The following is a 25,181-nucleotide window of genomic DNA, read 5'->3' on the forward strand; positions in this document are numbered from 1 at the left end:
TTGATGAGGGCCTGTTTTCTGGTCCATAGATGACACTTTCTCACTGTGTCTTCGCATGGTGGAAGAAGCTAGCTTTTCTCTTTACATATGTGTCCCCTTTACAATAATGAACTGAAAACTTCAAATCTTTGATTATCTAGAAAGCTTTAAAAGTGTATTAATGTCCTTATAAAAGAGATCTGGGATCCCTTCCATTCATGAGGACTCCACCCTCATTACCTAATAACTTCCCAAACACCCCACCTCATAATACCAACAACTTAGGGGTTAGAATTTCAACATATAAATTTTGGGAGAACACAAACATTCAGACCATAGCACATATATTAACTCATTGATTCCTCAAATAACACTGTAGGATAAGTATTATCCTTCTGAGATTTGCAGTGGTTAGGTAACTTGCTTAAGGCCATAGGCTGGTAAAGGGTAATCAAATTTTGAATACAAATCTATGTGGCTTTGAAGTTCATGCTCTTAACCAATATTGTATCTCATTTTTTCTAAGACCTTGTTAATCATCCTGATCACCTGGAGAGCCTTAGAAATAAAGATTCCCACATAAACCAAGTTTGAGAACAAGTGTTCCATACTAAGCAGGGAAGAAAGATGAACCATATACTACAGCACTAGACCACTAACACCCCCAACCACCCCACTCTACCATAAAATAGCAACACCAAACAAAGAAATTAATACAACTCTGTGGGTAATGATGGAAGTAAAGTGAAAAGTACAGTGATAACATTCTTGGACCTTGTGGTTTTAGTTGAATCCTAGCCAGGTTTCCATTGTAAAAGATTCCCTCTTCTACCCTATGTTGTTAGGAAAATAAAAGGAAATCCTTCTGCTACATATACATGTACTTCAGGAGCAAGCTCAAAAACAATTAGACAATGATGACCAATATTTTAATTAGGTTTAGACATCCTAGTCAATCAGATATAAGAAAGGATTTGAACGTGTCTTTGTGAAGACAGACTTTGGATGGTATTAGAGTGGTTGGTGTAACATGGCGTCCACAAATTCCTATAGCTTCAGCAAGTTAGTCTTATTCATTCTCTTAGAATAGTATTTTCTCTTGTTGCTCAACTGTCCTTGAAATTATTCTATAAAATATATACTACAATTTTCTATTCAAAAGTTAGTAATACTATCTTACCTCTGTTGAAAACCGATATTCATCCTAGCCAGTGCTCTGCAAGCTGCCATCCCTTTTTGTCCTCAATGTTTTCTGAAAACTATTCTACTTAGAAATCTTTCCTCTAAACTGTGGTTCTTCAAAAGATGTCTACTTTTCTGCATGGGACAATTTTAGCCATTACTAAATTGAAATCACAGACACACACAATGTCTATGATATATATGTTTTAACATGAACAGAAAATGTAAACATGAATAGAAATTAAATGGACATAGAAACTATGGCAATCTCACCAGATATTAACATATTAAAAATGAGAGTTAAAACCTTGGCTTGGTTTTTTTGTGGCTAGAAATAAAGGTCAACAGGACTTGGCAAGGCACCTGTAAGTGGATTAATTTCTTCTCATTCTTGCAAGGATCTGGATTATCACAAGCATTTTTTGTTTGATGAATCATCTAGAAACTGTTAGAGTATCACCTAAAACTTTCTAAGAAAATCTTTATTAAAAGAGCTTTTCTCACCCACAGAGAAACATAGCATGTCTCCGTCTATAATAGATAAGAGAAGGAAGTATTTTTAGACAAGATAGTTAGAAAAACATTTTTTGTTGTCCCTAATATTATACCAAAGAGTCATTCATTCAATATGTATTTATTGAATTACTACTATGTACCTAACACTGTAGCAGGGAGACTAGAGGTAAGGCTTTTAAATTACCCAATACCTACTTGCAATCCTTGCCATATTCTGCAATGGCATTTCCATTTTGTTGCTTTTGGAATTATTTTATCTGAGCCCATATTCGCAGATAATTCTGAGAGTCTGTTTTTCCCTTGGATCAAGCCTGAACCCAATTGCAGAGTACCTAGCAGGGAGAGTAAAGAATAATTTTAAACCTGGTCTTTATGCAGGCCATAGCTGGCATAGACTTCCAAAGATGGAAGGTGACCATGAGGAATCTTGTTGCCATATAAGATAAGAGAGAAGAAAGGACATCAGAACTTCGCTTAATCTGTTTCCAAGGAAAATGCTGCATTTTTGTGCTTCTATATATACCTTCACAATTTTCTGTATCTCTTTCCTGAAAAAGAAGAAGATTTATGTTTTGAGGATTTGTATAGATTTTTATTTTTTTGTGTATATATATATATATTTATGGGGTACATGAGATATTTTGATACAGGCATGCAATGTGAAATAAGCACATCATGAAGAATGGGGTATTCATCCCCTTGAACATTTATTCTTTGAGTTACAACAATCCAATTATACTCTTTGAAATATTTTAAACTGTACAACGAAGCTATTATTGACTATAGTTACACTGTTGTGTTATCAAACAGTAGGGGTCATTCATTCTTTCTGTTTTTTCTGTACCCATTAACCATCCCCATCTCACCTGCCCCAGTCCCCTGCTAACCTTCCCAGCCTCCGGTAACCATCCTTCTACTCTCTATATCCATAAATTACATTGTTTTGATTCTTAGATCATAAAGATAAGTGGAAACATGCAATGTTTGTCTTTCTGTGCAGGACTTATCTCACTTAACAAAATGATCTCCAGTTCCATCCATGTTGTTGCAAATGACAGGATCTCACTATGTTTTATGGCTAAATAATACTTCATTGTATATATATACCGCATTTTCTTTTTCCATTCATCTGTTGATGTACACTTAGGTCACTTCCAAACCTTCGCAATTTTAAACAGTACTCCAACAAATGTAGGAGTGCAGACATCTTCTCAATATACTGATTTCCTTTCTTTTGGGTATATACCCAGTAGTGAGATTGCTGGATCATATGGTAGCTCAACTTTTAGTTTTTTGAAGAACCTCCAAACTGTTCCCCATAGCGGTTGTACTAACTTACATTCCTACCAACAGTGTATGCAGGTTCCCTTTTTTCCACATCCTCACCAGCATTTGTTATTGCCTGTCTTTTGGATATAAGGCATTTAAACTGAGGTGAGATAGTATCTCATTGTTTTGATTTGCATTTCTGTGATGATCAATGATGTTGAACACCTTTTCATATGGCTGTTTGTCATTTGTATGTCTTCTTTTAAGAAATGTCTATTCAAATCTTTTGCCCATTTTTAAAATTGGATTATTAGATTTTTTTCCTTTAGAGTTTTTATGAGCTCCTTATATATTCTGATTATTAATCCCTTGTCAGATGGGTAGTTTGCAAATATTTTCTCCCATTCTATAGGTTGTCTCTTCACTTTGTTGATTGTATCATTTGCTGTGCACAAGCTTTTTAACTTAATATGATCCCATTTTTCCAACTTCACTTGAGTTACCTGTACTTATAGAGTATTGCTCAAGAATTTTTTGCCCAGACCAATATCCTAGAGTTTTTCCCCAATGTTTTCTTGTAGTATTTTCATAGTTTGAAGTCTTAGATTTAAGTAATTAATCACTTTGATTTGATTTTTGTATATGGCAAGAGATAGGGATCTAGTTTCATTCTTCCACATATGAATATCCAGTTTTCCCAGCACAATTTATCAAACAGACTGTCTCTTTCCCAGTGTATGTTTTTGGCACCTTTTTCAAAAATGAGTTCACTGTAGGAGCGGATTTCTTTCCAAGTTCTCTATTCTGTTCCATTGGTCTATGTGTCTGTTTTTATGCCAATACCTTAGTGTTTTGGTTATGATAGCTCTGTAGTATAATTTGAGGTCAGGTAATATGATTCTTCCAGTTTTTTTCTTTTTGCTGGGGGTAGCTTTAGCTGTTCTGGGCCTTTTGTGGTTCCATATACATTTTAAGATTTAAAAAAAAAATTTCTGCAAAGAATGCCTTTGGTTTTGCATTGAATTTATAGATTGCTTTGGGTAGTATGGACACTTTAACAATATTGATTTTTCTAATCCATGAACATGTAATATTTTTTCATCTTTTGGTGTCCTCTTCAATTTCTCTCATCAGTATTTCATAGTTTTCATCATAGAGATTTTTCATTTCTTTGGTTAATTCCTAGGTATTTAATTTTATGTGACTATTTTAAATGGGATTACTTTTTTAATATCTTCTTCACATTGTTCACTGTTGGCATATAAAAATGTGACTGATTTTTTATGTTGATTTATGTTCTCCAACTCTACTGAATTTGTTTATTAGTTCTAATAGTTTTCTTATGCAGTGTTTAGGTTTTCCCAATGTAAGATCATATTATGTGCAAACAAGTATAATTTGACTTCTTTCTTTTCAATTTAGATACCCTTTATAGGTTTTTCTTGTCTGATTGCTCTAGCCAGAATGTCCAGTACTATGTGGAATGACAGTGGTGAAAATGGGCATTCTTATCATGTTCCAGATCTTAGAAGAAAGGCTTTCAGGTTTTCCCCATTCAGTATGACACTAGTGGTGGGTCTATCATAATGGCTTTTATTGTATTGAGGTATGTTTTTCCTATCCCCAGTTTTTTGAGGGTGAAATTATGTTTTGACAGAGCAGTATTATATTGTTTCTGTACAAAATTGGAGACAAATATTATTTATTCATTTAATTTCTCATTTCAGGGAGCTAGATGCTTTGTTTGACAGCAATAGCCTTTTTGGGTTGAATTACGGTTCATTAGCAGATTATGTGTAAACTAAGTAAGAATAGATTGGGACATGTAAACCAACATCTTAGCAGGCACATTATTGTTTTATGTCTGCGTGGATCACTGTGAACAACAACAAAGAAAAAACTAAAATTGAGGCACTGGTGGAAGAAAGACTCCGAAAGTAATAGCTGAATATGGATGGTGGTTAAAATCATGGGACTAGGTGAGACTGTCTATGTAAAATGACTAGAGTAAAGGAGAAAAGCAGACTGAGTCTAACAAAACACTGGAGGAAACTAACATTTTATCGATGAACAGAGGAAAAGATTCTAAAGATATTTAAAAAGAGCAATCATGATAAGCATAAGAAGAAACAAAATATTGTGATGCTATGGATATCAAGGGATGCATTTCAAAACAGAGGCAAAATTGCATGCCTGTATCAAAATATGTCATGTATCCCATAAATATATACACCTACTATGTATCCACAAAAACTAAACAATCAAAATTTAAAAAGTAAAAAGAATACCTTCATTAAAAAAAAATACACAAAATAGAGGAAAAAAATTAACAAGATTAAAGGCTGTCGAGAAGTCAGCTAAAAGATGACTCAAAATGACAATTTAACTTGATCAATTGATAAATCTAAGGTAAAATGGTAGGAATATATGTCTTATTGAAATGGTATGAGTAGTCACAAAAAGGTGAGAAAATGCATATAATAGGATGAAAGAATATTTGTAAAATTAAGGATTAGAGTTGGTAGAGGGTTTTGATAATGGCAAATATTCGGAAAACTGCTAACAGGCACTGTTCTGGGGTCTGGGAACAAAGCAATGAAGTCCCTAGCCTCTTGAAACTGACATTACTGTTTTGGGGACAGGTGTGGAGGACAAATTTTTTTTAATTGTCAGGCAGTAAATAGTTCTATAAAGAAAAATCAAGGTAAGGGGATAGGAGGAATGGAATACTATTTTCTAAGGAGTGGACATGGAAGATCTTTCTAATAAAGTTGTATTTTAGCTAAAGTTTTGAATGAGATGAGGGATAATCTGTGAAGGTGGTGGTTGGGGGTGGGGGAGGAAATCATTTCAGGCACAGATTAGAGCAAGATTTCTAAGAGATATATGTGCTTGTCATGTTTGAAGAAAAGAAAGGAATCAGTGTGGTTGAAGCAGAGTGTATAAGAGCAAAGAAGTAACCTGTGGTCAAATTGTAAAATGCTTTATCAACTACTCTGAATGAGACACAAAGTCATTGGTGACATTTGAACCGGAGGAGTCCTGTGATCTCATTTGTTTTATAAAGGATGATTTTGTCTGATATGTAGAAAACAGACCACAAGAGAAAGGCTGGAATTCAGAAGATCATATCCGAAGTACTTGAAGTCATTAATACAAAAAATAATGGTGGCTTGTAGCACAATGGTACTAGTAGAGGCAAAGAGATATAAGTGGATTTTGAATATATTTGAAGCAAGCATTGTTAGGATATGATTAACAATTTGATGTGGTATATGAGAAAGAGAGAAGTCAAGAATGACTACTAGAAATGTCAGTCTGAGCAATTAGGAAAATGGAATTGCCATGTATTGAGACCAAGCAGCATGTGATAAGAGCAGACTGACAAAAGGTGGGAATCAAATTCAGTTTGAGATAGGAAATATCAAGTTGGCAATTGAATATATACATCTTGATTTTGAGTCAAGATATATGTATCTTGATATTTAGAGAGGTCAGGCTGGAAATATACATTTTAAGGTTGTCAACCTACAAGGTTTATTTATAATTGTGGAATACAATACGTCCTCTTGAGCAGTGATTTTGACTAGAAAAGAGAAGAATAGAAAAAAATTGAGCCTTAAAAATTGAGGTCTAGAAGGAGAAAAAATATCATCAAAGGAGAATAGGAAAGTATGGCCAATAAAGAAGGAGGGGTCTCAAGAGTGGATACCGAGAAAAGTGTTTTGAGAACAAAGGAGTGATAAACAAGTTAATGCTGCTAACAAGTCAAGTAAAATGAGGGTTCAGAACTGACCACTGAAATTGGAGACTTGGCTGTCTCTGGAGTTGTTCAGGGACAAGTAAATTAGATTAGATGCAATGTACAGTATCTGCCTGAAATTGGAAACCACACGGCTGAATTTTTTTTCCTCCAGTATCCCTTAATTACACGTGTGTAAGTGTGGAGGAGGCAAATTGTACTTTTCAAATTTCAACTTTCATTTTAGATATAGGAGATAAATGTGCAGGTTTGTTACATGGATATATTGCACCCAGGTAGTGAGCATAGTACCCCAATAGGTAGTTTTTCAACCCATGACTCATTCCCTCCCTCCCTCTTCTACTAGGCCACAATGTGTATTGTTCCCATCTTTACATCTATGCATGCTCAAAGTTTAGCTCCCGCTTGTAAATGAGAACATGCGGTAATTGGTTTTCTGTTCCTTCATTAGTTTGGTTAGGATTGTGGCCTCCAGCTCCATCCATGTTGCGGCAAGGGACATGATTTTATTATTTTTTATAGCTGTGTAGTATTTCTTGGTATATATGTACCACATTTTCTTTATCCAATCTATCATTGCTGGGCACCTAGGTTGATTCCACGTCTTTGCTATTTTGAAGAGGGTGGCAGTGGACATAAAAGTGCATGTGTCTTTTTGGTATACTGATCTATTTTCCTTTGGGCATATACCCAGAAATGGGATTGCTGGGTCGAATAGTAGCTCTGTTTTAAGTTCTTTGAGAAATCTCCAAACTGCTTTCCACTATGGCTGAACTAATTTACGTTCCCACCAACAGTGTATAAGCATTCTCTTTTCTTGGCAGCCTTGCCAGCAACTGTTTTTTTTTTTTTTTTGACTTTTTAATAACAGTCATTCTGACTAGTGTGAGATGGTATTTCATTTTGGTTTGTGTAGCTTTATTTCTGAGTTTTCTGTTCTGTTCCATTGCTCCAGGTGTCTGTTTTTTGTACCAGCACCGTGCTGTTAGGGTTACTATAGCCTTTTAGTACAGTTTGAAGTCTGGTAGTATGATGGAGAAGGCAAATTTTAAGATTTGTCTGGAATTGGTGGTTTTGTGGGGAAGAAGCATAAGAAAGCAAGAGAATTGAGGAAGCTGATGAGATACTAATTTATTAATTAATTTAATGCAATTGACAAACATGGTCTAGTTTGTACAGGAAAGAGTGAGGCCAAGAATGTTAATAGATTTGCATAAAATAGAGAGTTAAGATGCTTGTGATATCAATAAATTCAAAGAGTAACTCCTATGGGAATGGGATTGCTGGAAGAATAAGTCATTGTGGTTAGAAAGTGAGATAATGAAGTCAAAATAATTTCCAAAGGTGGAGTAGTTGCAAGTGAAGACAAAGTCTAGCAAATGGTAATGGATGTGGGTATCTAAAGTAAAATATAGGTCAGGGTCTCCAGGATTGAAGAGTGGGCAATAAACTATGTTGCTAAGATTTGAAATGCAACATCCCAAATGAATGTTACAATCACCCATAATTGTAACAACATTTGAGAAGCAAAGGATGATTACGCACTGAGTATCAAAGTCTCCAGTGAATGTCAGGGTTGTAACTGGGACCTTGGAAGTCTAATTGATCCTTAAACAATGTCTAAAATAATTTTTCTCCTTTGTGCCCTACAACTTCAAAAAAGTTACATCATAATTTTGTGTAATATCAATATGTGGCTATCATCATTTGAAAAGTGAGCTTTTTGCAATGTATAAACTCATATCTTTTAGCTCTTCAAAAGAACTGGAATACCTTTCTCAATAGTATATTCCATATTGCTTCCTCTTTCTTGTATTCTTTTGTTTTGGTGGAGTGTGTCCTTGATGATTTTCTGAGATAGGCTAAAAAGGAAGTCAATCTTTTAAGAACGTGCATATTTGAAACAAATTTCATTCTACATTAATATTTGAATGGTATATTTTCTGGGAATAGAATTATAAACGGGGCATCATCTTCCACTTGTGATGGCATTGCTCCAAAATCTTAGTTCCCACTGTGGTAGTTGAGTAGTCCAGTGCAATTCTGACTTCTGCTCCTTTGCATGTGACATATTTCTGGAAGTTTTTAAGATCCTACCTTTATTCATTGTATGCTAAAATTCAGTGAAGATGTGTCCTGATGTGGGCTTTTTTTTTTTTCATTCTTTTAATTGGAGAGTAGGGGAAGAGACATATGGTAAGCCCTTTTAATCACCAACTGTGTCCTTCAGTTATGGGAAATATTTTTGGAGTAATTGTTTGATACTTCTCTTCCTATTTTCTGTGTTTTCTTTCTTCACTTTGTCAGACTTCTTGGATTCATCTTGTATGTTTTGTACCACTTTCCTTTTATTTTTTTTCTTTTCTCTAAGGAGGGAGTGTAGTGGTTAGATAAGCATTTCCTCTGGAGCTAGAGGTTCTGGGTTCTAATGTGAGCTCCACCATTTACTAGGTTTTGACTTTGGACAAGTCACTTGTCTTCTTTGTTACTCAGTTTCCCTATATAGAAATTGAATAGTGTCTATCTTAGGGTTTGTTGTTAACAGAAAATGAATTAATGCATGCAAAGTGCTCAGAACAGTGCCTAGCACATTATAAGAGCTATATAGAATTTTTTATTATATTGTAATTATTACTTTATAGCTTTGATGTTCTACCTTCTGTACATGTCCTCAACTTTGCCTTTAACTTCTTTTGATGATTTTTTAGAAGTTTTGATATTATTTAATTTTCAAGATTTTTTCTTGAACAGCATGGTGACAGTAGTTAGTAATACTGTATTGTATACTTGAAATTTACTGAGAGAATAAATTTTAAATGTTCTCACCACACACACAAAAAGATATGTGAGGTGATGAATATGTTAATTGGCTTGATTGTAGCCATCATGAGACAATGAATACATATATAAAAATATCACATTATACACTGTAAATATTTATAATTTTTGTCAATTATACCTTAGTAAAGCTGGACAAAAAGAGACTTTTTTTATTTGGCAATCTATCATGATCCTATATCTTTTCTTTCTCCAAGTTGTTAGAGTTTTTCTCAAATCTTTCTTATGCTTTCTCACATTGTCTGTTTCTGTTTGTTTCCTTTTTCTATTTGTTCATTTCGGCCTATGTTTCACATTGAAAATTTTCATCAAATATCGGACATCCTTGGCTCTCTACTCACATTTAAGAGTGAAGAAAGAACTGACCATTTATATTTAAGAGTAAAACTAAAAAGCTATTTGAAAGGTCTTCGTTATTTTCTTAGTTAACTGGTGATATTCACTGTAAAGTGATTGTGTAGAGACACAGATACCTGGAAGGGGGACTGCCAATTTGTTTTTCCCCTTTGAGGAGGCACTGATTCTTCAAAAATAAATTCTCTCAGCTCTTTCCTGGTTGCTTGTGTTTGAGAAGAGTTTAGGCATTTCAATTCTTCCTATGAAATAATTCACTTAATCCCACTGTTTTTTGTTTGTTTCTTCCTTCCACCCGCCACTGTGCTTGAAATTTCAATCTGGAGCCTTTCTTAAATCTTTCCAAAGAATAGACATTTGATCACCTACTAGAGTGAAGAGCACCTGGAATTCTAGTATCTCCTTATATAGTTTTTAAATAATTCCTCTGTTTTCTGCCCTATACATTTTTCTTCCATCATCTTTCGAGATACTTGGTGTTTCAAACTCTTGAGCCTTTGCAGTTTCCATGGGCTGCGATAACTCGCTTCTTACCAGCATTTCCTTCTGTAAGCATTTCAATCTTGATTTAATTAGCTTTGTTCAGTCAACATGCTTCCATCTGTTTTCTATCTTTCAAATTTATGTTAATATTTCTCATCAATTTTTGTCTCTTCTTGGGGTTCCTTTATCCTCGTGGGTTTATGCCTTTCATTCCTCATAGTACTTGAGGGCACAGGTTCTAAAGCTGAACTCTTTGGGTTGGAATCCTTGCCGTGCCGTATTACCAGCTGAGAGAGCATAGGCCATTTACTTAAGTTGTCTGCATTTCTATTTTTTTCTTGTCCTTTATTTTCGTGTTGAAAAATAAAAATAAAAAAGCACTTGTATCATAGAAGTTAGTACATGCAAAGTACTTAGAACAGTGTCTGACACAAAGTACCTGTTCAATAATCGTCAACTGTTATTATTGTTATCACTATTAACATTGTATTATTATTTAGAAGTTTCAGATAGGAGTAGAGATAGACATGTGCATTTAATTATCTATGTTTAACCATTAATTTATTTTTTAAATGTAGATGGGACAAGTGAAGACTCTATTATTAATTGTCCTGGAGAACTGAGAAGAATAGGACAGAGTAATTGTGGTCAGCTTTTATACATGACATTACTTAAGAGCCTGGAATGAATAAAGTTTAAATAATTAGGTGCATGAGTCATTGCATTTCTCTGCTTTTCTGAACTCATTATCAGTTTCATCTTAATGCTGTTTTTTTAATAGTCACAAGATGGATATAGCAGTTACATATATCACATGCATATATGACAATGTCCAGATGCAGAAAAGGTGCAATGTTATCTATGTCTTCTTCTGAAGAATGAACAAATCTTTCTCAGAAGCCCCCAGCAGATCTTCATTCATGTCTCATTGGCTACAATCCATTAATTACCCTTAAATCAATCACTGGCAATAAAAATAGAACCACAAAAATTGGCCTAGATTGATTAAGGCTGATGTCTGGGGCTGAGACTAGAATCCTAAACCCTTGGGTCATATGGGGCAGGAGTGCACACATGAAATAAATTGTGTTGTTGTAAGAAAAAAGCCAGGCACGGTGGCTCATGCCTGTAATCCCAGCACTTTGGGAGGCCGAGGCGGGTGGATCACTTGAGGTCAGGAGTTCGAGACCAGCCTGGTCAACATGATGAAACCCTGTCTCTACTAAAAATACAAAAATTAGCCGGGCATGATGGTGTGTGCCTGTAATCCCAACTAATCAGGAGGCTGAGGCAAGAGAATCGCTTGAACCCTGGCAGCGGAGTTTGCAGTGAGCAGAGATCACGTCATTGCACTCCAGCCTGGGCAATAGAGCGTGACTCTGTCTTGGGGAAAAAGAAAAAAAAAAAGGAAGGGCAAGTAGATATTTAGTAGGCAAACAAGTGATGCCGAGAAAGGGATTCTCCAGGTTGTTCCATAAAGTCATAAATATTGAGTATACCTCAATAAAATTCAGACCTATAATTTTAATGAACATGTTGGGAAAGCAAAAGTTGATTTCCCTAATGAGTCTTTGCCTAGTAAGTATTCTGTAACGCCTAATACTAGGCTTATCGGTATTCAAATCAAATTGCTATTGTAACTTAAAGCTTGCTTACCACAGTGTTGCAAATAGCCAGCTTCATTGTTCAGATAAAAACAGATAAACTTTCCCAAAGTTAACTACTTCCTTCCTTTTTAGACATGCATAAGATAGACGAAAACTGGGTAAAATAAATATAAATGTATATACTGCATTCAGAAGTGAATGTCAGTGGAGTTTCTTGACTCTTACCTATGCCCAAAGAGTATCTGAGAAAAGTGAATGAATTGCTTACCTGACTTCCTGTCTTCCTGAGTCTTCAGAGAATGAATTACAATTCCCCATTTTGCCTTACACATTTTAGTGAGCTAATTACAACCCTTTTACAGTTCAGCCTCCTTAAAAATCAAATTGGAAGTTGTGATAAACCTACTGGCAATTAAGAGACAGCAAGATGGATTATCTCCAGATGCTCACGGGACTTCTTGAAGTTTGGAGTCACATCTGTTTCTGCTACACTTTGGTATTTTTTGTTGTTGTTGTTGATGATGGAAGCTTTCTGTGGTCCTGTTGAGTTGCAGTATGCAAATAAGCTTTATCCAAGCATGCTTACTTCCTGAGATGAAAAGTTTCCAGGCAGATACACAGCAAGAAGTCATGGTACATTCATTCTCAGAGCCTGAAAAATGTATGCTAGGTCTCATAAGTAAACTTCCAATTTTGGAGAGAGACAGTGGAAGCTTGTGATATTTTTCGGTGTGATTTGGATTGGAAAAGAGGTGAAACATTTTTCTACTTTGGAATGCACTGATAAGAATAAAAATAATGCCCCTAAATAAGTCCAATAAAGCCTGGAGTAGTCTTTCTTTCAGTTTCCTATTTCTTCTTCATTCAGGTTTCCTACAAAACTTCCATATAATTCTGCATTAGGAGCACATATGTAGAAAGTTATAAAATGAGGAGACATTTTTCTTTGGCACAGATACTTTAGTGACATTAAAGATTAAAGTTTTTTTTTATAACAGTTTTTTTTGGGGCTTCTTTTTTTTTTTTTTTTTTTTTTTTTGAGACAGAGTTTCACTCTTGTTGCCAAGGCTGGAGTGCAATGGTGCAATCTTGGCTCACTGCAACCTCCTGCCTCCCGGGTTCAAGTGATTCTCCTGCCTCAGCCTCCTGAGTAGCTGGGATTACAGGCGTGAACCACCATGCCTGGCTAATTTTTGTATTTTTAGTAGAGACGGGGTTTCGCCGTGTTTGTCAGGCTGGTCTCAAACTCCTGACCTCGTGATGCACCCACCTCGGCCTCCCAAAGTGCTGGGATTACAGGCGTGAGCCACCGCGCCCAGCCTGCATTTATAATAATGTTTATCATACAGTATATTTGGCATGCAACAACAAATAACATTTACAAAGTTACATGTCTAGTACAGGGTTAAATGTGATGATGCAAGATAGGTAAGAGTTAAAACACACAGTTTGTACCCCTAATTCTGATTAGGCTTCTTTGAGAGAAGTATAGTGTCTGGAATGAAATAGTTTCATTCTACTGTGTGATGGTGAGCCTATGCTATGGTCTAAATGTTTGTGTCCTCGTGCCTCCCAATTCATATGTTGAAACCTAGTCTCTAATGTGGTGGTATTAAGAGGAGGACAATTTAGGAGGGGATGAGGTCATGATGGCTCTATCCTCATGATTAGTATTAATGCCCTTATAAAAGGGGCCCCACGGAGCTTCTTCACCCCTTCCACCATGTAAAGATGCATCAACAAGGCACCATCTATGAAGCTAAGCGAGCTCTCACTAGACACCAAATCTGCTAATACCTTGATCTTGGACTTTCCAGTTTCCAGAACTGTGAAAAATAAATTTCTGTTGTTTATAAATTACCCAGTCTAAGGTATTTTGCTATAGCAACCCAAATGAACTAAGGCAGGCTATACCTTGAATAATATATTTATTTCTGGTTGTCACACTAAGAAAAGCCATCTAGAGGGTAGAACTGTGTATGTAGAATAAAAAGGACCTAAAGGGGTAAGAACTGTCATGGGCATATGTGAAAGAAGGATTGTACTTGTTTTGTGTGATAGAGGATATAACTAGGACCAAGGAATGGATGGGAATTATATGAAGAAAGAATTCATTATATTTTAAGAACTTTTTTTCTTATTGCCTCTCTGTTGAGGAAAATTGAGTTTATCACACTCCTCAGTTGATGGCACACTGATTATCATTGCTGCTTGCAAGGACCACACTTATTTGATTGTTTTTATCTATTTCTATTTCTCATACCTCCAGGCAATTATTCTAATCCTTTACTGTTTGTCTACTTGTAAAATATGTTTTGTTGTTTTGTACTTGCATATTTTTAGTTTACATAAGTGGTATTTTGATATAGATGTCATTCCATTTATTTCTGTTTTCACTCCACTTGTTTTCTAAGTTCTATTTAGTTTGTTGCATGTATATCTATTTTGTCATTTATAAATGCTACGTAATCTCCATAATGTACATCTACCACACTTTACCAATTAAATTGACTGATGACTCGATTATCTATCATTTCTGACTCATAACCCCAAATCCAGTGATGAGTATCCTGAGTGATCCAACTTCCTGCCACCATAAACAACGTTGCAATGAATAGCCTTACATGTCCCATTTTATACTTTTGTAAGCCTATGTATTCTGGGTCACACAGTGTATGTATAAATAGCTCCATATTGCTCTATAGAATGACTTCTTCCACCAACAGTGTATGAGGGATTCTAGAGCCTAGGGCTTCACAAACTTTTTCTGTAAAGAACCGGATTGTAAATATGTTAGGCTTTTCAGGCCACTCGGGATTGTCTTTGCCACTCCTCCTCTTCCTCCTCCTCCTCCTCCTTCTTCGTCCACTTCTTCATGAATCACCCGTCAAAAATGTTAAATTCCATTCCTATCTTATGAGCTGTACAAAAATGGGCCAAGAACCTCATTAAACTCTTGGGCTATCTAGATCTAGCCCTGCATTTCTGCCAACATGTGGCAGATAACTCATTTCTCTAATTTTGACCAGTGTAGTGAATATAAAGTGAGTGCTTACTATTTTAACTTCCACTTCTCTGATTATTAATTAGCTAGATCATCTTTTAAATTATTTGTTAATCTTTGGGTTTTCTCATCAGTAAACTTCCTATTGAAATAATTTACTCAGAAACTCACTATCTGTTGTGGTGGCTCATTCACTCTGTTTGTAGCTTAGGCTGGTAGAAAACTCTCAAAAAACATCAAAATTAAGTATTTCTGTTCAATAAAAGACACCATGGATAACGTTAGTGAGCAGATAACTGATTAGAAAAAGAGACTTAAAGTGCCTAAAACTGGCCATGAATTAGTATCCAATATATAAGAAACCACAAAAATCAACAGATAGTGAGTTTCTGAGCACTGAATTGTTTCTTGAAGGGCTGAATGGTCATTTGGCATCAATGTTATATTGTAGTGTTTCAAACATTAAGTGGGTGTGTGGAAAAGAGTATTATGGTCTCTTTCAACCCTGAGATTATTTGATATGCATGAAGCAGTTTGAGAGCAACATTTGGAAATCACAGGATTTGGGTAGTAAAAGGGATATTAGTGATTCATTTAATCCAGATTTCCCATTTTCCATGGTAAGAAACAGAGGCCAGAACAGGGGATGTACTTGCTCAAATTTCCCACAGCTAGTAAGTGGCAGAGGCTGGACCAGAATTTCTCACTTCACAGTCCACTGCGCTTTTCATTACCTCAAGATAAATTCTAAATTTAATGGCTCGGCAGTAAACACTCTAGCTGGTTCTAGTGGTGGGAGGATATCACTAAGGTAGAAAATGTATGCAGAAAGGGGCATCTACAAGTTCTCCTAGGATTGACTGGTTCATGGTAAATGCTAATGCTACTTTTATGACTATACATAATCTGTGTTGTTGCCATTTATGGAAACAATTATAAAGTCATTATCCACATTTTCCCTCACCCAAATTATTATGAAGCCTGAAGCTTTTCCAAGCACCCCAGGCACAAATTGTATTGTCTTTTTTCTCTAATGTCAGATACTAAAGACTACTGTGCCTTTTCAGCTGAGCTAGGACTGTGTAACAAACTAAAACATTACAGAATCCTTAACAGCATACATTTAAGAGAGCCACTAGCTGCCAATACTTGATATGTGCAAATCAGAAATTCAGTCCCCCCCCGCCACAGTGCTTGGCAACAAAGACTTTCAAGATCTGTGCACCATTATCCATTCTAGTGGAAAAACTTATGAGAGAATATGGAGTTGTTTAAAGCTGGTGCCACCCTAGGTAAAATCAGCTTATTTTAGACCCACCCTGGCACTGCTAAAAAAAATAGTTTCTCTAAACAAGTTTTTTTTTTCCTACCATAAGTCTCAGACTTTTAGTGTTTTACACCTTGTTAGATCACAAAATAAGACTGTGAGATCCTTTCCGTGAGGCTGTATCAACAATACCAAACAACTCTTACACTGTACTGATACTTATGTATGAATATCTAACATTAGAGATTTTTGTATTGGTGGAGGGTGAGGGACAAGGGGTCAGCAGGCAGGGAGAATGTCTTTGCAATATCATAGGACAGCCATACTTTCAGTGGGCTTTATAGGTACATGTAAATGACAGGAGTTTGGTTAAGATACTCCTGGTTTTGTTTTTGTTTTTGTTTTTCCCCTCAATAGGAATAATCCTTGAACTAGCTCGTTTCCTTTTCTAAGCAGCACAGTGGGAGATTTCACCGTTTTCTCCCAGGCCTTTTCCAAACTTGACAGCTAAGTGGAAGAGTACAAAGGCCACTTTCACAACCTTTGCTCAGCTGCAATTCTTCTCTCTTGCCTACCCCCTTCCACAATGTGTCTAATTGTCCTGTACAAGAGTGTCTGTTTGATGTATCTTGAGTACTCTGACTGTCCTGACAAGTGTTGGCAAAGTTCAGAGTGACTGGGAGCAATTCTTTATACCACACTTGTCCTCATTTTTCAGTGTTGTCTACTTTTGATGTGGACTAGCTGCTATGCTGAAGCTATTTCTATTTCCTTTCTCTAGGAATACTGAATACTATTCTTGGATTGAATAGTTTTCCCACCCGCCCCTTCCCCTAGCACTACACCTGCTTCCGTTATACTCTTTCTTTTTGCTGTGTAGCTTAAATATACAATTTAAACACCCTGCTTATTTTTACACAAGTCAAAACATATTCCCTGCTTGAATCAAGAAGAAATGAAAAAGGAAAGGAAGGAGAAGGAAGTCTGTCTTCATTGGCCCTTCTTGGGCAACAAATGGCCTATGTGAGAGTTCTAGCTAGAATGAAATGCAGTTCAGTGATTGAACAATGCTAACTCAGTTCCTTTTCCATTCTAAAAGCTGAAAGAGTAGATGGGAAACCAGCAGTCCCCCCTGTAGTATGGTGAAGCACACTCCCTTTTCTATGTACAAGCAAATGAACCCTTCAGAGTGTCTCAAATCACTCCCACTGCTGCTCATGATTGGACTAAAGTACCTAACTCTACTCTCCTTGAGGAAAGAGGATACCAACTTGCCACTGTCCCCATACTCTCTTTTAGGTTTCCAACTCCCTACTGTAGCTCATTACAAGTATGGGTGAAGCCTAGATAAATATGGATATGATGAATAGGGATATAGTAAACAAGTGCTTCAAGAAAGGCAGAATAGGGTACCAAAACATAATAGAATTGCCTGCTGGTACTATAATGAATTGAGGTAATATATTAATTGAGTAATAAAATCTTAATTGTACCAAACATGACTCCCGCAGGTTATAATTCAGGGTTCTTTCCTTCTATGTCCTTAAGAGAAAATTAGGGAGGAGAGATGAGAAGATGACACATTTTTTAAGATTCGGTGTGTGTGATGTCTAGACATCCTGAATAAAATAGAGGTAACCCCCTGTCATCTGTGATGAGATATTAAATTTGTATAATAAACTGTCAAAAGTATGGTCTCTCCCAATCACCCCTAGTAAGAATGCTATTGTTTTCATAATTCATGATTTTCTTTTCTTTTTTTTTTTTTTTTGAGATGAAGTTTTGCTCTTGTTGCCCAGGCTGGAGTGCAATGGCACGATCTCAGCTCATTGCAACCTCCGCCTCCCAGGTTTAAGCAAATTCTCCCGCCTCAGCCTCCTGAGTAACTGGGATTACAGGCATGCGCCACCGTGCCTGGCAAATTTTTGTATTTTTGGTAGAGACGGGGTTTCTTCATGTTGGTCAGACTGGTCTCAAACTCCCAACCTCAGGTGGTCTGCCCGCCTCGACCTCCCAAAGTACTGGGATCACAGGTGTGAGCCACTGCGCCCAGCTGATAATTCATGATTTCCTTATCAGTTTCCAACACAGGCAAAAATCTTGTGTCTCACTACTGAACTTCTGACCATGAGAACTACTGAGTACCTGGCTGCCCATATTGACATTGTTTTGCACATGCATTCATGAGTATGAGAGTAGGTCATTCCATGTCAAAAAGCTAAGTGTATCAGGTGCAGTATTAATTGACTATCAGGTATATTGACCCAACTCTCATTATTAGGAGTCTTCCATCACCTATGGGCCTTTTTCTCCCCCCAAAACATATTTATTTTTGGTTGTGAGGATAGTAAAGAGGTAAATGGTATGAAGAGTCATTGTTGTTTCTTCTCATGAAAACATTAAATAGAATCATGAACTATCAGAAAAAGTTCATCAAACCTTGCTCTACTGCCTTTCTCTATGAAGATAATGCAACCCCTAGATGAGGACTTGTCAGTGGTGAAAACTGGAGTTGCCAAGTATCCATTGGAAATTTCACGGTAAAGAGCATAAACATGATGATTTTCTTTCCTTTTACGAAATTCAAATAAAGCCTTAAAAATGTATTCTCTCTCTTTCTATTTCAGTGAGCTAATACTCTGCTTGAGATTCATTAAGTCAAAGACTGACATTTCCTCTGACCACAGACTCGACTTCAGTCTGCAGATATTATCCTGCAATTCAGCACACATTGCTATCTGCTCATCGTGGAGGAAAAGCAAATTGCAGATATTTTACTCTGCCAAATCATTATGTGCTTAGGATATTCAAGGTTAGAAAAAGCTAAGTGACATGTACTTTTAGATACTTGGCATTGTAATTACAATGTAGTGCAAATCAGCAAGTATTTATTGGGTACTTATGTGTCTAGCATTGTAATCATGGCTTTTCCTTACACAACACTTGACATAGCCAGATGGATACAAGAGATTTTCTGGGCAGAATTTCTTCTGAAATGTTCCCTCCACTGGCCCATTATTTTACTATTGGAGCCTTTTTTTTTGGATCTAAAAAAATGTTGGTTTTCAGATTGAGGGTAATCAAGATACCCTGGTTATGGCAATTAGAGCAAGCATTGTAGTTGTCATTGGCAGGAAACAAGAGTCAGAATTGGAATTGAGATGAATATCAGGAGTGAGAGAAAGTTGTAGTTTGAGAGAGAAGATGTATATTAAATGAGAAGGGAGAGAAGGTAGAGGTCATCTCTGACTAACCTTCTCTGCTTCTTAGTTTTGCTAATAATCTGTCTTTCGTGTGGAACAGGGAAGCTCTACATACCTAAATTAGTATGATGTTGTGTTAAGGAGTGTAAACTTACAAAAAGAAGCAGAGCCAGTTATGTCCAAGTTGAAGCAAAAAAGTACATTTCACTGTTACAGACTTCTTTGATTATCCAAGCCACTGCTTTTTTTCTTTTAAAATGGATAATGTTGAAAAGTTCAGAATCTAGCAAATTTGTGAAATGTCACTTTGGGTAACATGTGCCAAATAATTCAGAGGTACAATTAACAAAATATCTATATCACAGTGATTGAATGTTCTCAACTAGTTTGTCCCTTTTGCTTCTCTCTCCTTCTGGCAAGTCTTTTATAAGTTGGAACACTGAAATTGCATGCAGATTTTAAAGACATTGATGTATAATTCAATAGCAACTCATATTGTTTTTAAACATCAAGGTTTCACTACTGATTTTCTTCAGAGAGATTTCATTTCCACATTTGTCATTCATAGAGAAGACACAAGGCGACCTCTTTTGAGGTGATTTTCATGAGCAAATGATAGAAAACATGAAGGAAAAATATTATTTCTTGTGTTTTATTTGTAATACCCTATGTATCTGCCTGCACTCTAACAGTTGACGACACAAGAAAGGAAGTTTGATGAGAAAGATGTAAAATATCAAGATGATTTTTCATCATAATATGTAGTCAGAATCTTGAGAATTGGGAGGAAAGGTAGAGAAGGCCAGCAAGACAGCATGTTCATGAGTATGAAGGTGGGCTCAGAGTGAACCAGGTATTCAAGTATTTTATAATACCACGCCACCACCTTCTCGGATGATGTTATACGGATAGTGAGAGATTCATTACTATTTCTGAGTTGGAAAGTAGACCAGCAATCCTGTAGTATAACATTTCATTTCAAATCATTCAAAGTGGCTTGAAATTATACACTGGCTGATTTTAAAAGGTGGGTTAGAATCATAACTTATTTGTTTTAAAGAAAACTATGTCATCTGCTTGCATAATGATTTTTCACTTAATGTTTTATTCAGTCTTTCTATATAATTGAGCCTAATTGTTCTCTAATACTGAAAGGACTCAGCTTTATATGCAGCCATCCCTATTTTTGATATTTCTATGAAGGTGCTTTTGAATAATAATGAATACGCCTTTTAGATTTGTTGTAAGTGTTTTATATTCCAGGACTGCTACTTATACTTACTTGTATTCTTGGTTTATAACATGTAGTACTCAGGAGAATAAACCCTTGGGAATGCTATGCAATAAGGATTCTAAGAGACACTTATGTCCTATTTATTTTTATAGTTTCTGTAAGAAAGTGCTTATTGGGCAGAAACAACCAGGATAGCTTACAAATATGAATGCCTGGAAAGATCCCCAGGGTCTTCATTATTTATGTTGTTTGATAAGCACATTCTAATTGTTGATAGGTTAAGGCCAGTGTTCTTAGACTGATGTTCTCAAGGTTTTGTTTCTTCTACCTTAAGAGTTAAAACATTCAAGAGAATTAATAGCATGTATTGAGCAATTACTACACCAGAGATACAAAGGATGGGTAATTAGAGAGCAAGAAGAAGTATTTGAATTTGGAATAAACAGTACAAATAAGAGAGACAGAGTGCAGGATATGTTGTACATCAGTGTTTGCTTGAAATGGAGGAAGACTTTCCTGCAGGATGAAAAATGGAGAATGGCTAGAAAGGTTAGAGTTAGATTGTAAAAAAGCCTGAATGTTAAACTAAGCAATTTGTTTTACCTTATAGGCAGTGGGGAGACATGGAGTACCATCAGTAATTCACTTATTTTCAGAGTAGAAGCATTTTGGCATTCTATTATCTATTACTTAATATAGAATGCAGACATTTATTTGGAAATGCAATAGTCATTTAACTCTTAGCATGACAGCTCATGTGATATACAGTATTACATTTTCCCTATATTAAATACTATACGAAGAATAAAATCGATTTATATTTCAACTCTCTTTTTACTTGGAGATGGGGGTGAATGTTGTTGATCTTCATCTTTAGGCAGTAATACTGATCATTATCATTACCTTTATTAAATTCCAACAAAGTGCAAAGTGTAAAACATACAACTTGGCAAGGGAGTCCTTCTCATGGTTGAATAATTGGAGATATTTCAAGGTGAATTATCAAACTATTAACCTCTTTGGATTTTTCTTTTGGTCAGAATCATTAAAGGGACTGGTATTTGGGTGAGATTTGAACTCTGTGAGGTCAGAAACTATGACATACTTACTCTACTATTGACAATATCCAGCACATAATTATATGCCTGGCACATATTTAAGAGACTAAAAGGAACTTATTGAGTGAATGAGTGAATGAATGATATTCTGGACTTCTGTGATTTTTCCTAATGTGATTTCACCCCCCTTTCACTTAAGTCACCTATTGGCACTTGTACATTGTTATCACTAAAATTTATCCACTCTTAAGACCTGGTAATTAATGCAACACATGATCATGAATGGATCTCAGGCAAGAAGGAGCCATTAGGAGGAAAGTCTTAGCTAGGTGTGGTGGCACACAACTGTAGTCCCAGGTACTGGGGATGCTGAGGTGGGAGGATTGCTTGAGCCTAGAAAGTCAAGGATGCAGTGAGCCGTGATAGTGATATTCGAATAACATCTTTAGATAATAGAATTATATCAATGTTAATTTTGTGACATTGATCATTGTTCTTTGATTATGTAAGATGTTAACAGAATTTTTGCAGAATCTGGATAAAGGTTACACAATAATTATTTTATAATTTTTGCAATACTTGTGAAAGGCTGAAATTATTTCAAATAAACATTTTAAAAATTGAAGGCAAAAATTTTTTAAACCTTTTCACCCTCAAGATTATATTATTATTACATTGTAGTACTCATTTCATCCCCCCTGAGTTTCACTCCTACATATACCCTCATCATGATTTTTTTTGTTAGTCTGTTTTTTAAATGTATAATTCATATGCGATTGCACATATTTATGGGTACAATGTGATGTTTCAACTCATATATAAATATATAATTATCAAATCATGGTAATTGCCATTTACATTACTGTAAACATTGATAGTTTATTTGTAGTGATAACATTCAAATTATTCTCTTCTAGCTCTCTTGAAATATATGTTATATTGTTATTTGCTGTAGTCACCCTACCGTGTAATAGAACACCAGAATTTATTCTTCCTCTTCTTGAGGTTCAGAAAACAATATCCCAAAATGAAAGCCTCAGTGGCAGCCTCAGAAACAAAAGTTTTTCTCTGACCTTCTCCTGCCTCCCTAAGTTCCATTCTCCTGCCCACCCTAAAACCCTGGAAGTAGGCATAGAAACTAGAATCCCTCTTCTTCAAGGTGAGTCATAGAAACCAGAACCCCTTTTCTCCAAAGCTAGACATAAAATCTAAAAGTATTCTATGTAAAAACTGGTTATAAAGAAATGATCTGACCTACCTTGTTCGACTGTAGGTCATGAGACCCCCATTTCAGAGAGGGCCCTGCCCCACACCTAGAAGGAAGGAATACAGGCTCAGAGAGACCAAGAAAAGTCTAGACAGACAGGCCTTGCTGGGTTTTCCTACTCAGTCTATTAGCATTAGATCATACCCTTTTCTTCAATCATACTTCTAGACCATTATCCATATGTTATTAACCTCAGCTTTATAAAAGTTAATCATTTCCCTTGTATCTTTGAGGTCATCATTCTGAAGCCTCCTGTGTATACATGTTAAATAATTTGTATGCCTTTTCACCTATTAAGCAATCTGCCTCATGTCAGTGATTTTTTTCAGAAAATCTTGGCCTCTACACTTTCTTTTTTTTTGAGATGGAGTTTTGCTCTTGTTGCCCAGGCTGGAGTACAATGGCACCATCGTGGCTCACTGCAACCTCCACCTCCCAGGTTCAAGCGATTCTCCTGCCTCAGCCTCCCGAGTAGCTGGTATTACAGGAATGTGCCACCACACCTGGCTAATTTTGTATTTTTAGTAGAGAAGGGGTTTCTCCATGTTGGTCAGGCTGGTCTCGAACTCCCGATCTCAGGTGATCCACCTGCCTCGGTCTCCCAAAGTGCTAGGATTACAGGTGTGAGCCACTGCACCCGGCCGATTTCAGTCTGTTTTATGGCTGAATAATATTCCATTGCATATATGTACATTTTCTTTATCCATTCATTTGGAGACAGTAATTTGGGTTGACTCCATATCTTGTGCATTGTGAATAGTGTTACAATAATTATGGGAGTGCAGATATCTCTTTGATATACTGATTTAATTTCCCTTGGATATATACCCAGTAATGAATGGGATTGCTGGATCATATGGTAATTATAGTTTCAATTTTTTGAGGAACCTTCATACTGTTTTTCACAGTGGCTGTACTAATTTACATTTCCACCAACAGTGTTGGTTTTCTTTTGTCCCTATCCTCCCAACACTTGTTATCTTTCATTTTTTTTTTTGATAATAGTCATTTTGACTGGGGTAAAATGAAATCATTGTGGTTCCCATTTGCATTTCTGTGATGATTAGTGGCGTTGAACATTTTTTCATATATCTGTTGGCCATTTGTATGTCTTCTTTTGAAAAATGTCAGACTTCTGCTTCTGAGTCAAAGCCATGGTGGTGGCAAATTCAAGCCCTGAGCCCCCGTGGTGTTCTTTGATGTCAGCATTGTCAGTCAGGAAGTTGGCCACATGAAGATCCAGCTCTTTGTAGACATTGTGCCTAACACAGCTGAGAACTTTGGGCAGTTCTGCACTGGAGAATTCAGAGAAGATCGGGTTCCAATAGGATACAAAGGGAGCACCTTTCACAGGGTCATAAAGGATTTCATGATTCAGGGTGGAGATTTTGTTAATGGAGATGTTACTGGAGTCACCAGCATTTACCAGGGACCATTTGCAGATGAAAATTTTAAAATCAGATACCCAGCTCCGGTCCTGCTTTCCATGGTGAACAGCAGTCCCAGTACAAATGGCTGTCAGTTCTTTATCACCCGCTCTAAGTGCAATGGCCTGGATGGGAAGCATGTAGTGTTTGGAAAAATCACTGATGGACTTCTACTGATAAGAAAGATTGAAAATGTTCCCACAGGCACCAATAATAAGGCCAAGGTACATATGGTGATCTCACGGTGTGGGGAGATGTAGTTCAGACCAAGACTGAATCAGACTTTCACTTCCTCTTGGCAATGTTCTTGAGTAAGATAATCTGGACTGGCCCCTGTGTTTGCTTCCCTGCCTGCTGCTACGCCATTTGATCAACAGACTCTAGCAGTATCAGAGATTCAGGATCCAAGATTGTGTTTAGGTTTTCAACTGTAAATAAAGTTTTTTGTATGTTTAAAAAAATAAATAAAAATGTCTATTTAGACCTTTTGCTCATTTTTAATAGGATTATTTGGTTGCTTGCTATTGAGTTGAGTTGCTTACATATTTTATTAGTCTCTTCTCAGATGAAAAGTTTGCAAATATTTTCACCCACTCTATAGATTGTCTCTTCACTCCATTGATTATTTCCTTTGCTATGCAGTAGCTTTTAGTTTTATGTAATCTCATTTGTCTATTTTTACTCTTGTTGCCTGTGCCTTTGAGTTCTTATTAAAAAAATCCTTGCCCAG

General features: G+C 36.3%; 1 long non-coding RNA gene and 1 pseudogene across 1 annotated transcript in view; both read left to right on the forward strand.

Moving 5' to 3' along the window:
* LOC101928437 (uncharacterized) overlaps positions 1–22,331 on the forward strand; it is a 477,888-nt gene extending 455,557 nt beyond the window's left edge. The window contains exon 4 of the long non-coding RNA NR_110399.2: positions 18,890–22,331. This is a non-coding gene — a long non-coding RNA (uncharacterized LOC101928437). The remainder of the gene's footprint in view (positions 1–18,889) is intronic.
* PPIHP2 (peptidylprolyl isomerase H pseudogene 2) lies at positions 24,155–24,902 on the forward strand (annotated as a pseudogene).

The sequence above is a fragment of the Homo sapiens genome, chromosome X (genome assembly GCF_000001405.40).
Source record: "Homo sapiens chromosome X, GRCh38.p14 Primary Assembly".
Taxonomy (NCBI): Eukaryota; Metazoa; Chordata; class Mammalia; order Primates; family Hominidae; genus Homo; species Homo sapiens.